This window comes from Homo sapiens, chromosome 12, assembly GCF_000001405.40.
Source record: "Homo sapiens chromosome 12, GRCh38.p14 Primary Assembly".
In the NCBI taxonomy this organism is placed as follows: Eukaryota; Metazoa; Chordata; class Mammalia; order Primates; family Hominidae; genus Homo; species Homo sapiens.
This window is the reverse complement of record NC_000012.12, coordinates 78,711,991-78,725,851: the sequence shown is the minus strand read 5'-3', so window position 1 is coordinate 78,725,851 and position 13,861 is coordinate 78,711,991.

The following is a 13,861-nucleotide window of genomic DNA, read 5'->3' as shown; positions in this document are numbered from 1 at the left end:
AGTTGAGAGAATGTTTTTTAATCAAACTGCAAAATATTTCAGAAATTTAAGAGGTTGCGCCAGCTAATTTTATTGGAAAAATTATGCAATTGCAGAATCATTAACTATTTTGTTGTTATTGTTGTTCTGAAGCAACAACTAATAGTACCAATTTGGGAAGCCACTCTGTTTCACACTTTTTCCATGAATAATAATCATTCATTAATTCCATGCTGAATGTTCGCATTAAACCAGAGAAGTCATCTAATTTTATCCTCATCATATATATAGGTACAAAGCACTGGTCATTTTAGGGCATATGCAGTATGAGTTAGCTCAAACTTTGTATTTAGGTTTGATTTAATTATTTGATTTAATCTCTCTTTTGTTTGAGAAGCAAAGATAAAACAAATTAAGTGGCAGAATCGTTTATATTACAAGCTGAATCTCATTTTATTGCATCTGGGATCTTTTTTAAAAAAATTAAACAATAAACTAAGATAGCCTCAGAATTAGAAAAGAAATCATTTTCATGTTGGCATTCAAGTCTTTTTCCTTTGGACTTATTCTCTTGCTTTTAATTAAATCTTATATTTATCACAGAGAGTTGCATTATTTTCAGCAACATCAGAAATTGCTGAGTTGTCAAGATTATTCCAAAGATAGAGCACTTGAAAGAATAGAGCACAATTAGGTGCTTGAAAATGTGGAGGCAAAGGAGAATTAGAGGAAAGATCAAGGAAAGAGAAGGTAAGGGAAATAAAGCAAAGCAAAGCAAAGCAAAGGAGATAAATTACTATCAGGTAAGAGACGAATCTTCACCATTTTATATGTGAGTTGTTACATATCAAATAAATATTTAATCTACTAGGTGGTTTTATTTTTAAAAAACTTTTGTAATTTATGAATATTTCTTCTTTTATTTAAAAACTGTTTAAAAAGGCTGGGCACAGTGACTCATGCTTGTAATCACAGCACTTTGGGAGGCCGAAGTGGGCAGATCATTTGAGGTCAGGAGTTTGAGAACAGCCTGGCCAACGTGGTGAAACCTCATCTCTATTAAAAATACAAAAATTAGTTGGGCGTGGTGGCACATGCCTGTAATCTCAGCTATTCAGGAGGCTGAGGCACGAGAATCTCTTGAGCCTGAGAGGCGGAGGTTGCAGTGAGTCAAGATCGCACCACTGCACTCCAGCCTGGGGGGACAGAGTGAGTCTCTGTCTCAAAAATAAACAAATAAATAAATAAATAATAAAAACTATTATAACAGAAAATGTTATCTATGTTAGTTATGGCTAATTTTTCACTTGGAAACTTAAGTATCATTCTATTCCAATTTCAGGCTTTTGGATCAGTTTTAATGCAAGAATAACCTGAGATTATGAAATCTACTTGAAAAACTGTTTTCATAGGCAAAACTAATAAAGATACAACGAAGGTTTTTCTTGTGAATGCAAGTGAAAAAATGGATTTTGATGTCAAGGGTGACAAATGCAGCTGATGCCCATAACCCCTTAGATGAAAAGTTAGTTTTTACTCAAAACTGCTTCACTTATTCTCACTCATGGATTTTATCAGCAATATATTGTGAATTTGAAAGTATAAAATATGCTTATATTGACAAATCTTTTTTAGCTATGATGTATATAGTTTTCACATAAGAGTTAATTTGGGGGTGAAAAAAGCAGCTTCCCATTCTTAAACATTTTTTTTAAAATGCATCCTAAGGACTAGGCATGGTGGCTCACACCTGTAATCCCAGCACTTAGGGAGGCCGAGGCGGGCAGATCATGAGGTCAAGAGATCAAGAGAATCCTGGCCAACATGGTGAAATGAAACCCTGTCTCTACTGAAAATACAAAAATTAGCTGGCCATGGTGGCGCGTGCCTGTAATCCCAGCTACTTGGGAGGCTGAGACAGAAGAATAGCTTGAACCCAGGAGGCAGAGGTTGCAGTGAGCCAAGATTGTGCCACTGCACTCCAGCCTGGCGACAGAGTGAGACTCCATCTAAAAAAAAAAAAAAAAAATGCATCCTAAGATTATGAAGATATACGGAAGCAGGTTTGCCATAGATCATTCTATCCAACTCTTATCATGGCTATTTATTTATTAAATACTTTTACAAATGGCATATTTGATTTTGGAAAACAGTTATTCAACTTAGGTCTGTAATCTTAGAAAAGTTATTTAGCCTTTCTTAATCATCTTTTTCCTTATTTGTAAAACGGAAATAATGATAACTACTATTTAAGAGTGCTATGAGGAATCAAGATAATAGACTTAAATATATGTAGTTCTTCTGCTTGCTACTGTCTCCTACCTGTGCAGAATGCAAAAGTTCATTAACTGTTTTCTCTTTTTTCAAGGAACAGACAAGAAGCAGGGTAAGTACAGAGCAGAATTGTAACTGAATTATTGTAATACTGTACCATTAGTATATTTTATTAAATTAAAGGTGATTTGATAATGAGTGCCTTTCTGCAGAAAGATTTTATTTGGTAGACTGAAAGATAACTTTTACTTTGGGGGTGCTTCTGCTAGAATAGATTGTATAAAACAATTACTCATTGTTTCTGAAATCTAGGCCTAAATTTATGAATCACTAGAAATTTTCTGGCCTGCTGAATGATGGCAATATGACCCAGTAATACTGACAATGACCTTCAACACAACAGTGACAAGTAATAGTTATTGAACATAATATTTTTCATACACTTTTTTAAGTGCTTTACATTAATTGTATAAAATATGCTTTAAAATATGCCATCAAATATGTATAAAAATTACTCTGTTTATGATCGTCATTACATAGGGCATAGATAAGTTAAAAAATCACCTAAGATTTCACAGCTAGTGGGGTGACAAAACCAAGATTCAAAATCCAGACAGTCTAACTCCTGATCTTGCATTTTTTACTAAAGCTGGGTTGTGGTGTCCAAGGAATCATCAGTTGGAAAGCGGGACCTCCAACAACTCTTCCAGAAAACGTCCCCGAAATAGACCCAACCAGGTACATCAGTGTAATAAGGTTATAGCCCATATTCTTGGGCTTAAATGCAACTATTTTCTTCTACTTTCTAATATAAAAATTGTAACAAAAGTAGTATGCAATGTAAATTCAAATCAGCATCCCTTGATATTCAAAACATTTAACAAGAATTATGTCACAAATGAGCAGGGGCTAAGGCAGAGTTCTAGGGGCTCCCTACTGTTTCAAATGTTAGCTCATAATTTCTGGATCTTGCTGCAATCTTGACAGGATGGCCAAAATACTGGGGGAGGTGCTAAGGGAACTCAGGGTTGTGGCTATTTTTCTACTAGTTCTGAGATATTCAAACATGTTAACATCTGGAACTTCTGACATGATTGCACGTTATGCACGTAGACTACATAGCAGTCCTACTTTAACATATATTGGTTAATCATAAAATATGAGAATAAAAAGCTTATTTGTAAAATACATAATAAAGAATAGCAATGAAATTGTTTTGTGAACTCAGTTGTTATTGCTTTTGAAAGATTTGAAAAAGAAAGGGAAGGTAACTGTAATCAAAAAAGAATTGCATAGGTAAGCCTGCCTTAAAGAAAATCTATCTTTTAAAGGCTCCTTGGAGATCACAAAACTACAATATGTTATTAAAGACACACTGCATCTGAAAATTTTTTTACTATAGTTGCTACTTTACAATGTCTCTCTGGGTTCATAGGAAGTGTAAGTAGGCTTGTGTGGGAGTCACAGGAAGTATAAGTAGGCTTGTGTGAGATCAATTCTTTGTTTATGATCACATGCAATCTAAATACAGCAAATCATTGCTGTACAGTGCTTGTTACTACTGTAATAAATTTCAGTATTCACATTAGACTGAGTATCATGTTTTCTTTCTTTTTTTAAAGGTCTTCCTGGTGAGGGGTTTAAAATAAATATTCCAGTGGAGACATAAGGAGATATAAAATAATAAATAACATGATTTTTGTGTTCTGATTTAAGAAAATGATAGATGGTCCACAGCAAGGAAGTAGCTGTCTCTGCATGAATTTAAAGATAGTTGATGTTGTTAAGAAATTTCATATTTTCAGAGTCAAAGGGTGAAAGGCAAAACTAGCATTTTGTGTTGGCTTATATATCATTTTAATAGTAAAGTGTGACATACTATTATAAAAATACATGCAGCATATGATTGTATACAGTTAAAATAACTGCATCTTCCTCTAACCACCATGCTTTTTTCCAGGGAAAGCAACTTTTCTCATTTGCTGTGTCTTCTATACAGATGTCTCATTTGTGCATGCACATACGCATATGTGGAATCAAAGGGCATAAACTGCCCTGTGATTTTGCATTTAATATTTTCAAAAATCAGCCCCAAAGATAATGTTTTATGGGAATCTATGGAAGCAGAAAGAGGCTATTACTTAATTAACTACCCCCATTAGCCGCCCCCCCCCCACTTAATATCTCACACAGGAAATACCCTTTCATTTTCTTGTTTGCTTGTTTTGATGTGTTTTTCCCCTCTGAATCAAATGTCACTTGATCCTTTTTAACTCCCTGCAGTTTGTATGTGGCATAGTGAAAAAAGGTTCTAGGTCAAAATACTTAAGTTCTAGGGTCTTTTTTGTCACTTTATTTCTAAGAACGAGTCTCAAACTCTCTGGCCCTCAGTTTCTTCATTTGAAAAATGAAATTGTTAAACCAAGTGATTTTTTTTGTTGAAAGGTCACTCTACTTTTCAGTATGTATTTGAGTTTTATAATTGGTTAGCTTTTAGTGTTGTTTATGCTTTCATGCTTCATTTACCCCAACAACAACAAAAAAATTCCCTAACAATGCCTTCATGACAATCTAGAAAATTTTTTGATAAAAACATTTATTTATTCGTATAACAAAAAGCATTTTATTGATCAAAACATTTATTTATTCATATAACAAAAAGCATTTTAGTAAGATGTATGGATTTTTTATTTGATTAAAAATATTAAGCTGTGAGTACTACAAAAGAGCACAGATTAGGTAACATCAACAACACCTAAAATTAATCGAATACTTATTTTGTGCTAGAAACAGTTCTAAGAACAGCCATCCCCCAGTGTTCATAGAAGATTGATTCTTAGATCCCTATGGATACCAAAATCCATGGATACTTAAGTCCCTTATAGAAAATGGCATAATAGTCACACATAACCTACCCACCTCCTCTTGTATACCTTAAATCATCTGTAGATTACTTATAATACCCGATCTAATGTAAAATTTACGTAAATAGTTGCTATACTGTGTTATTTAGGAAATAATGATGATAAAGTCTGGACGTGTTTGGCAACCATCCATTTTTTTTTTTTTTGCAGTTGGTTGAATCCATGGTTATGAAACCCATGGATAGGGAGGGCCAACTGTACTCTGAATACATAAACTCAGCTAAACTTCTCAACACTATGAAGTTCCCTTGCATCTTAATGTAATTTAATGAAGTATAAATAAAAGAATAATTTAAGATCCAGAGGGAGTAGAGTCCAGTACTTCCCTCAGCTATGGGATGGTCTCTGAGATACTTCCCAGTGCAAAAAAAGAAATCATATGACTGTGTTTATGAAGTTGTGTAGTATTATAATTACTGGGCATACTAAATGTGTTTAAGTAACTGGGCAGACTAAATGTATTTAGGTCATCTGAGGCCTCATAAGGTTTGAGATTTATAAGCATGCCTCACATCATGATTTTACCATCTTTGTAACACTAGACTCCCTTGCCACTCCTGAAAGCATCCAAACTTAATTCCTCAAAGCCCCTTTGGTCTCGGTTCCTACCTTCATGGAGACTCATGTGTGCTCTTCATCACTAAACTATTTCTACCATTGGCCATGACAAGAGCTTCAATCATATCAAGCATTTCAAATGTTTGTGGCTTTCTTACAAAGTTTGAAGATAAAGAAAGGGTAACCTTTCAGGCTTGTGGCTGGCTGCTGTTTTATTAGATAAAAACTTAATTCCTCTCCTTCTCTTGGAGCCTAGTTTCTCAAGCCTCATTTAATCACTTTCTCCATGCAGAGGTTTTAAATGATGGCTCTGATGAATGCTTCACATTCCCAGGGAACATGGTTACCCATGCTGTACTGTTCTGTTTTTTTTTTTCTCTGCATTTTGGTCAACAAACATTTCTCCATAGATACATGGGAAAAGAGAAGGGGCTATCGATGCATCTTATCTATAGGCAGAGAGACATGTTTCAGTACCTCCAACAACCCAAACTCCTCACCCTACATATAACACCCACTCATAAAATTAAGTTTTCCTCTTTTGGGCATTTGTTATATCATACACATTCAGTTCATGTATCAGTATGTGTGCTCTTCCACCAGAAAAAGTGGTTACATATCAAGAAACAAAACATGGAGACCCTGTCTCCAAGGTAACAGTAGGATCCACCATTTGTTTTGGAATCTTCATTTTCCTCTCCTCCCTCATGATCTCTTTATCCCATCAAATCATTTGAAGACTGGATAGGTTAATTTCAATTTTATCAATCACAGTAAGAGATTTAAGTAAAAATCTGGGAAAATTTTGTGCATAAATATTTTGTCCAGAGAGGCCCATCAGGTGTCTATGGGCTAGGACCATGCTATATAGTGGCAAAGAGATGCTTCTTATGACCAATTATCTCATTATATCCTTTGTTCGCCTTTAATACTAAAATAAAATAGAGCTTTGGCGTGGTTAGTAGAAGGGTTTTTTTTTCCCCATATACTAGCTAGTGGATGGTATTAAAAATAATCTTGTGAATTTAAAGTGCTAGAACTAGTAGAAACCTTTAAGATCATCTATTAGATTGGTGCAAAAGGTATTGTCATTTTTGCCATTGAAAGTAATGGCAAAATCACAATTACTTTTGCATCAACCTAATAGCTACTACTTCCTTTTACAAAGATGGGAGGGGGTGAGGGTTGAAAAATTATCTATTGGCTACAGTGTTCACTATTCAGGTTATGGATACACTAAAGCTCAGACTTTACCACTGTGCAATATATGCATGTAAGCAGGTAAGAAATCTGTGCTTGTACTCCCTAAATATATTTAAAAAATTAAAAATCACACCTTTAATTTCTTTCTTTCTTTTTTTTTTTTTTTTTTTTTGAGACAGAGTCTCGCTCTGTCGCCCAGGCTGGAGTGCAGTGGCGCGACCTCGACTCACTGCAAGCTCCGCCTCCCGGGTTCACGCCATTCTCCTGCCTCAGCCTCCCGAGTAGCTGGGACTACAGGCACCCGCCACCACGCCCGGCTAATTTTTTGTATTGTTAGTAGAGATGGGGTTTCACCGTGTTAGCCAGGATGGTCTCGATCTCCTGACCTCGTGATCTGCCCACCTTAACCTCCCAAAGTGCTGGGATTACAGGCGGGAGCCACCATGCCCGGCCCACGCCTTTAATTTCATCTTACATAGCAAAGTAATTTCTATCATTGGTAGATGTATTCTTATGTTTTCTCTTTTCCCCAGATATTTACAAAGCAGTTTTACAGCTAAAATTTTACACTATTGTACTACTTTTAAATAGATATATATGTAGTCTACACACCAGAGATCTTGAAATAATTAATAAAACCAGTGCTATGAAAGTGAAGGAGACATTGTTGAAACTAGATTTGTGAAAACTAGTGACGCACAGGATATCAGACTTTTGTGCACATGGTAAGTATTTTCAAGTTGAATCCTCTTCTCAAAAATATTCACAGAAGGATAAATTCTGCTCCCCCCAACCCTCTGCAATATATTGCAGCATAATTAGATTACAGGATTTACAGGATATGTAGCTGCTGTAGTGATTTTGTAAATATAGGCAAAGCATTGTAGAGAAAGAACAGAAAGATATAGTGTCCTGTGGAGTATCCGACAAGCCTTTCTTGAGGGTCAAATTTGTAGCTGACCCAATACATTTTGAAAACTGTATTGAAGGAGAAAAAGCCTATTTTATCTTCTAGGCAATTAAGAATAAAATTTAAAGCAGAGTTTCCAGAGCTATAAAAATTCCATCTATAAGAGTTCTTTGATTAAAATTAAATTTTGAGCCACTTCAGATTCAGAGAGAGAATTCTCTCAAATTAATATTAAATGTATTTCTAGAGAAATCGATATAGATATAGAAGATAAACTGGGTAATAGCCTGGACTACACTTGTCCAACACAGACATTATTCACCTTAGTCAGACATAAGTAATAATTTCACTAATTTCTACAAATGAATTTTCCATGAGAGATCCATAGAAAATTACCTTATGTAGCATAAGCAATTTTGTACATAATTATCATTATGTTAACCATATTATAAACTATATACTTCAGTCATAATTAATCCTATGTTCATGTATCAGGGAAATTCTTCCCCTTTGAAGGGAAGATAGGTACTCAGTTTATTTTAGATAATGAAGATGTATTCTATCAATGCAGGGAGAAGGGAGTGATCATGGAAAGCCATCTTCAGTTGTATAGCTCCTGGATCCTACTTACAGCTCCACGGCTTGAATGGGTACCAGACTTAAGAAGAATAGAAAAAAAAAGTTTTACTATGATTCAAGCTAAACGACAACTCAAATAACACATCATGCTTCATTTTTCTTAGAATCAAGAATCATCTATTTAAAACTTGTGTGCATCTCATTTTTAAAATCTCCGCAAGAGAGTATCCAACTGAGTCATTTTAAGTCCACCCAATAAGGACTGCACTTACTGGGCACAGGTTTTGACTAAGCATCCCAGCATCAGTCTGTTTGGCTTGAACACCGCTCTCTGGTGATGGTTTTATGGCTCAGTGCTGGTATTCCTGGTGGTTCTCACTGATTTATGGTGGATCTCATATTTTATGGGCAGGACTAAAGCAGGAGAATACTGAATTTCAGGGCTAAATCTTATGAGAAGAGCCACATCTATTCATAACATTAGAAGCAGGGGACTGAAGCTTTCTAAAACAAAGTCCTAACTACTTCATCTCTAGCACAATGTTGAATCCTACTTTCTGTGGCTACCTCCAAAATATCAAATATTGGCCGTTTTCAGGCTCTGTTATTTTTATCCCATTGTCCATTTTAGGTTTTATTTATACCTTATTATTTGTGTTTATATTAAACTATGTTTGATTTTAATACAATTTCTTTTCAGCTACATTTTTTTCTAGTACATAGCTGCTGCTCAGCATTATCTTAAAATTAATAAAACATCCTTCTAAAGATTCATATTTAAGATACCTTAATCAGCTTAAAGGATTTTTAGCCGAGCCTTTATGAATTGTAGTCCATTAATAGAGGAATAGATGGTTGTGGATTTTGGATTGTTCCTTTTCTGTGTATTGTTTTAACTACTGATGATCACTTTTAATCTTAGATTCTCTATATTTATTACACATAAATAACTGCATTAATAATATCTTTAATAAAAAAGAAATGAACTGGATTTCCTAAACAAGAGAATTGGTAATAGAAGCCAGAATTATTAAATCAAAGAAAGATGGCTGATTTGTGTACTGTTCAGAACAATAAAGTTTCCCTTGATGTAGGAATGTGAGGATTTTTACATATCATTCCTAAAGTATGGTAAGTGAATTGATACTATATCAATACATAATTTGATAGATCTCAATATACAGAGGTTTTTACAAATTTTTGTGTCAGTCACATGATAAATACTCATTAGAGAAGTTACTGTGTAGAGTGACTAGAGATACATCCAGGAAAAAAAAATATGACTGAGAGACAATTCTTTATGGATCTCTCCTGTTTTTATTCAGAAATAGAATGTCTTGAGATCAGAGGCATTGACTACCATGTTGCCACACTACCTTTTCCAGAGAAGCAAACAAACTTAAAAGATAAAGATGATATTTCCTTCCAGAGCACAGGCCAAGCACAATTACTGCCCATTGCAAAATACTCAGGTTCTCTAACCTCAGGGTTCTTCTCCTATAATGCAACCCACTATATATGCAGATGTCCATTGGTTCTCTCCATATTAGCCTGCAAGAATCAAGCCTCAGATAACCAAAGCAAAAGTAATGATACTCTGTCTAAAGCCACTGCTGTGAGAAATAAACTATTATTAGTCTCTGATCCAGGAGTCTTGTATCTTATACCAATAGCTGCCCTTCCTACTCTGAAAGTTTTGATTCCGCAGCTCTGGGATAGGGCTCAAGTATTTCCATTTTTATCAGTTCTCAAAAGATGCTGCTCCTGATTTAGAAATACATTTTGAGAACCACTGTTCTTTAAGGATTTCTGTGTCTATATTCATGAGGGATAATGGTCTGTACATTTATTTTCTTGTGATGCTTTTGTACGGTTTTGTTATCTGGGTATACTGCACTCAAAAAGTGAATTGATGTTTTCCTTGCTCATTTATATTTTTCAAATGTAAACTGTGGTCTACTAACTTGTTAACCTTTAAATAGGGTAAAATTGCAAGCCCCTCACAATTCTTGATAAATCCACTATTTTTACTAAAAGTTTCCCAGTAAATATTCCCCCTCACCTGTGGTCCCTGAGATTTCTAAACATGTTGGATGATATTATTATGAACTGGTTTGAGAGCAGGAAAATAATTATAATATTAATTGATGATAAATAATTTACAGGCATATCTAGTGGAAATATTAAAGTTTACAAAGTGTTGACAAGTCATTAATATACTTTGGAATGTGGCTTTTAAGAGATAAATTTGAATAATCAAACACATTTTAACATTTGTTTTAATTCACTTTTTATGAAGAAATAATTATCTTCATTAAGTACTCCTTTTCAAGTAAGACATTTTGTTTTGCGGAAGATTTTCAGAATGATTTTCTAATATGATGTACACAGATGACTTGGGAACACAAAAAGAATAAGTTGGCTAGTAAATTCAACTTAATTCCTAAAACTTTCCATGGAACTTTCCAAGAACTATTAAGTGCTTTAAGAAAGGCTTAATTACATTATGATAATAAGCATAAATAATCACCTGAAGAGTATCACAAATGACTGATAATTCACACTTCTACTGTAGCCTACTGCTTGAAAAAAAAACTGTTACTCTTCAGTCCCTTGGTAATCAGCTCCTGTTGTCAAAGCTTCAGTTACAATTTGATTTTTAAAATTCCTAAATGTCAAGAAGCATGTGGTCTGATAAATATGGATGACATTTAAAAAGCAAAGTAGGTAGTGTCTACAAAAGAAGGAAAGTGTCATGTGCTGCATTTATTGATAAAATATATCTCATTCACATAATTATTTACTCTTCTCTATGAATGAAACCTTCTGTTTATAAAGAGTAATACAATTCCCAAATTCGCCTGATAAGTAGGTGGGTGACTTAAATACTAACACGTATACAAGTAATATCTCAAAACCAAAAATAGGCAATTTAAAAGAAAAATTAGTGGATGTATATAAACCCTTTTTATTGTTTAGAGTCAGATACAGAGAGCTCCCCAAATGATGATAATTTTTCCATTAAATTCACTGTATTTACTAATTGAATCCTTATGACTACATCAGTACATATTTATTAATTACTGCCCTATGTAATTCAGACCTGTCACTTCTGTAAGCAGCCACTTCATACCAAATCAGAGGCTTACTAACAGTCGACAGGTATATTGCTCAGAGCAATAAACAAATAGCAGGCAGAGCTTCATACAACTTGGGAGAAACAGCTAGTTGTGAATTTTAAAAATATCACAGAATTTAACAACTTACCTCTCAAGGACCCTTATTGAATCTACTTTGCATTACATTTTGACTTGTGATACTTGGTGCCAGTTTCTCTGTATATTGATTTTGCTACCTCTTGTTAGAAAATTATTTTGTAAAACCACCCGTTTGTTCAAACTAAATAGAAATGATTTTATTGCTATAGATGTAAAACATATTTTTTAAAACTTTGGATTAAGAAAGTAAAGGAACAAGCAAATTTAATAAAAATTTGGCAAACATCTATGAGCCAAAATTTTTATGTATTTCTTAATTGGGGGGGTTAGATTTCAGATATGTCTTTTAATACACATCACATGGCAATAAGTGAATACAAAGATAAATGCAAACTTGCTGACTTTTTCTTGTGGCAGATCCCTACTCATTAGATGACCCTGTTCATTAGAGATATTGTTTTCTTAAACATCTGTTTCTGATTAATTTTTCTTACCAATGTTGTGCTTTACAGATTTTACTTAAAAATTATAGAGTGATATTTATCAGTAAATTATATGATTATTTTATATGCACATAAAAACTAGTTTGTTTCTCATAATATTTTAACAGCTTTTTAACATAAAGACTAGTTTATTTTATTTGTTTCTCATAATATTTTAACAGCTGTATTGAGGTACATTTGACATATAATAACTATAAATATTTAAAATATATCATTTGGTAAGTTCTCATATTTGTGTACACCCATGAAACCATTAGTACAATCAAGATAAATGAACATAATCTAACTCTTTGATGGTTACATTTATATGCCAACTTGGAGGCTGTGTTTGAATGAGATTAGCATTTAAATCAGTGGACTTTCGGTAAAGCAGATTGCCTTTTATAATACGGATGAGCCTCATCCAACCAACTGAAGGTCTGACTAGAACAAAAAGACCTGCCCCCCTATGCAAGAGGGAATTCAGCAGACTGCCTTTGGATTCCATCTGCACTATTGGCGCTCCTGGGTCTCCAGGCTACAGCCAGTCTTCTCATTGGAACTATAGAATCTACTCTCCTGGTATTGAATCTATTGGCCTAAACTACAGATTTTGGCCTCCAATTCCTTATAATAAATTAATCATCTATATATTCTATTAGTTCTCTTTCTCTAGAGAATGCTGACTAATACAGATTTTGATACTGTGAAGTGGAATACTGCTGTAACAAATACCTACACAGGTAAAAATGGCTTTGAAACTGGTAATGGGTTGAAAAAGTTTTGAGGTGCATGTTGAAAAATGCCTACATTGTCTTAAAGAGCTGGTTGGTAGGAACATAGACCTTAAAGGTGATTCTGGTGAGGTCTCGGATAGAAATGAGGAATAATAAGTCAATGGAAACTGGAGGAAAGTCTTTCCTTGTTATAAAGTGGCAAAGAACTTGGCTCAATTGTTTTCTAATGTGTTAAGAAAATCAAAAGTTAAAAATGATAAACTTGGATATTTAGCTAAGGAGATTTCTAAGAAGTGTTGAAGATATTGTCTAGTTCTCCTTACTGCTTATAGTAAAATGTAAGAGGAGGGAGATAAATTGAAGGGATTGTTAAGTAAAAGGAAGACAGAAGTAAAGATTTAAAAAATTCCCAACCTATGTATATTGTGAAAAAGGAGAAAGTGTATTCTGGAGAAAAGACCAGGGGGGTGACTGGAAAAATCATTTAATAAAGAGATGATAGGTGTGACTCATGGATTTAATCTTTCATCAGCAGAAACTAGGAACAGAAGTTTATACCAGTAGAAACACTGCCAGCTGGGACAAAAAGTAACAGAAACAGAACAAAATAAAACAAGGCTAGCAGACTTCTAGATTCTGCAGGATGGGGCAATAGAGCTATTTGTGTAAAAATGTGCACCATCCTTCAAGAAAAGAAAAGAACGACTCTGAAGGTGATTCAGAGATCTTTAATTCTGACATCTTCATCACTGGACCTGAGTGGTCAGGACTGGGGAGGATGCAAAGTTGTTTTCTTCTTGGTTTCAAAAGTCAAGCCTGTTTCATTCTTGGTTTCAGCAGGCCTTGCCACTGCCAGCCAGTGCCTCAGAAACAAACCTCGCTGCCCAGAATGATGGTGGTGGTTCTACCTTCTAGGGCTGTGGGGATGATGCTGCCACAATCGTTGAGACGAAGAGGATTATTCTGAGCCTTATGATCTAATGGAGTTTGCCTTGAT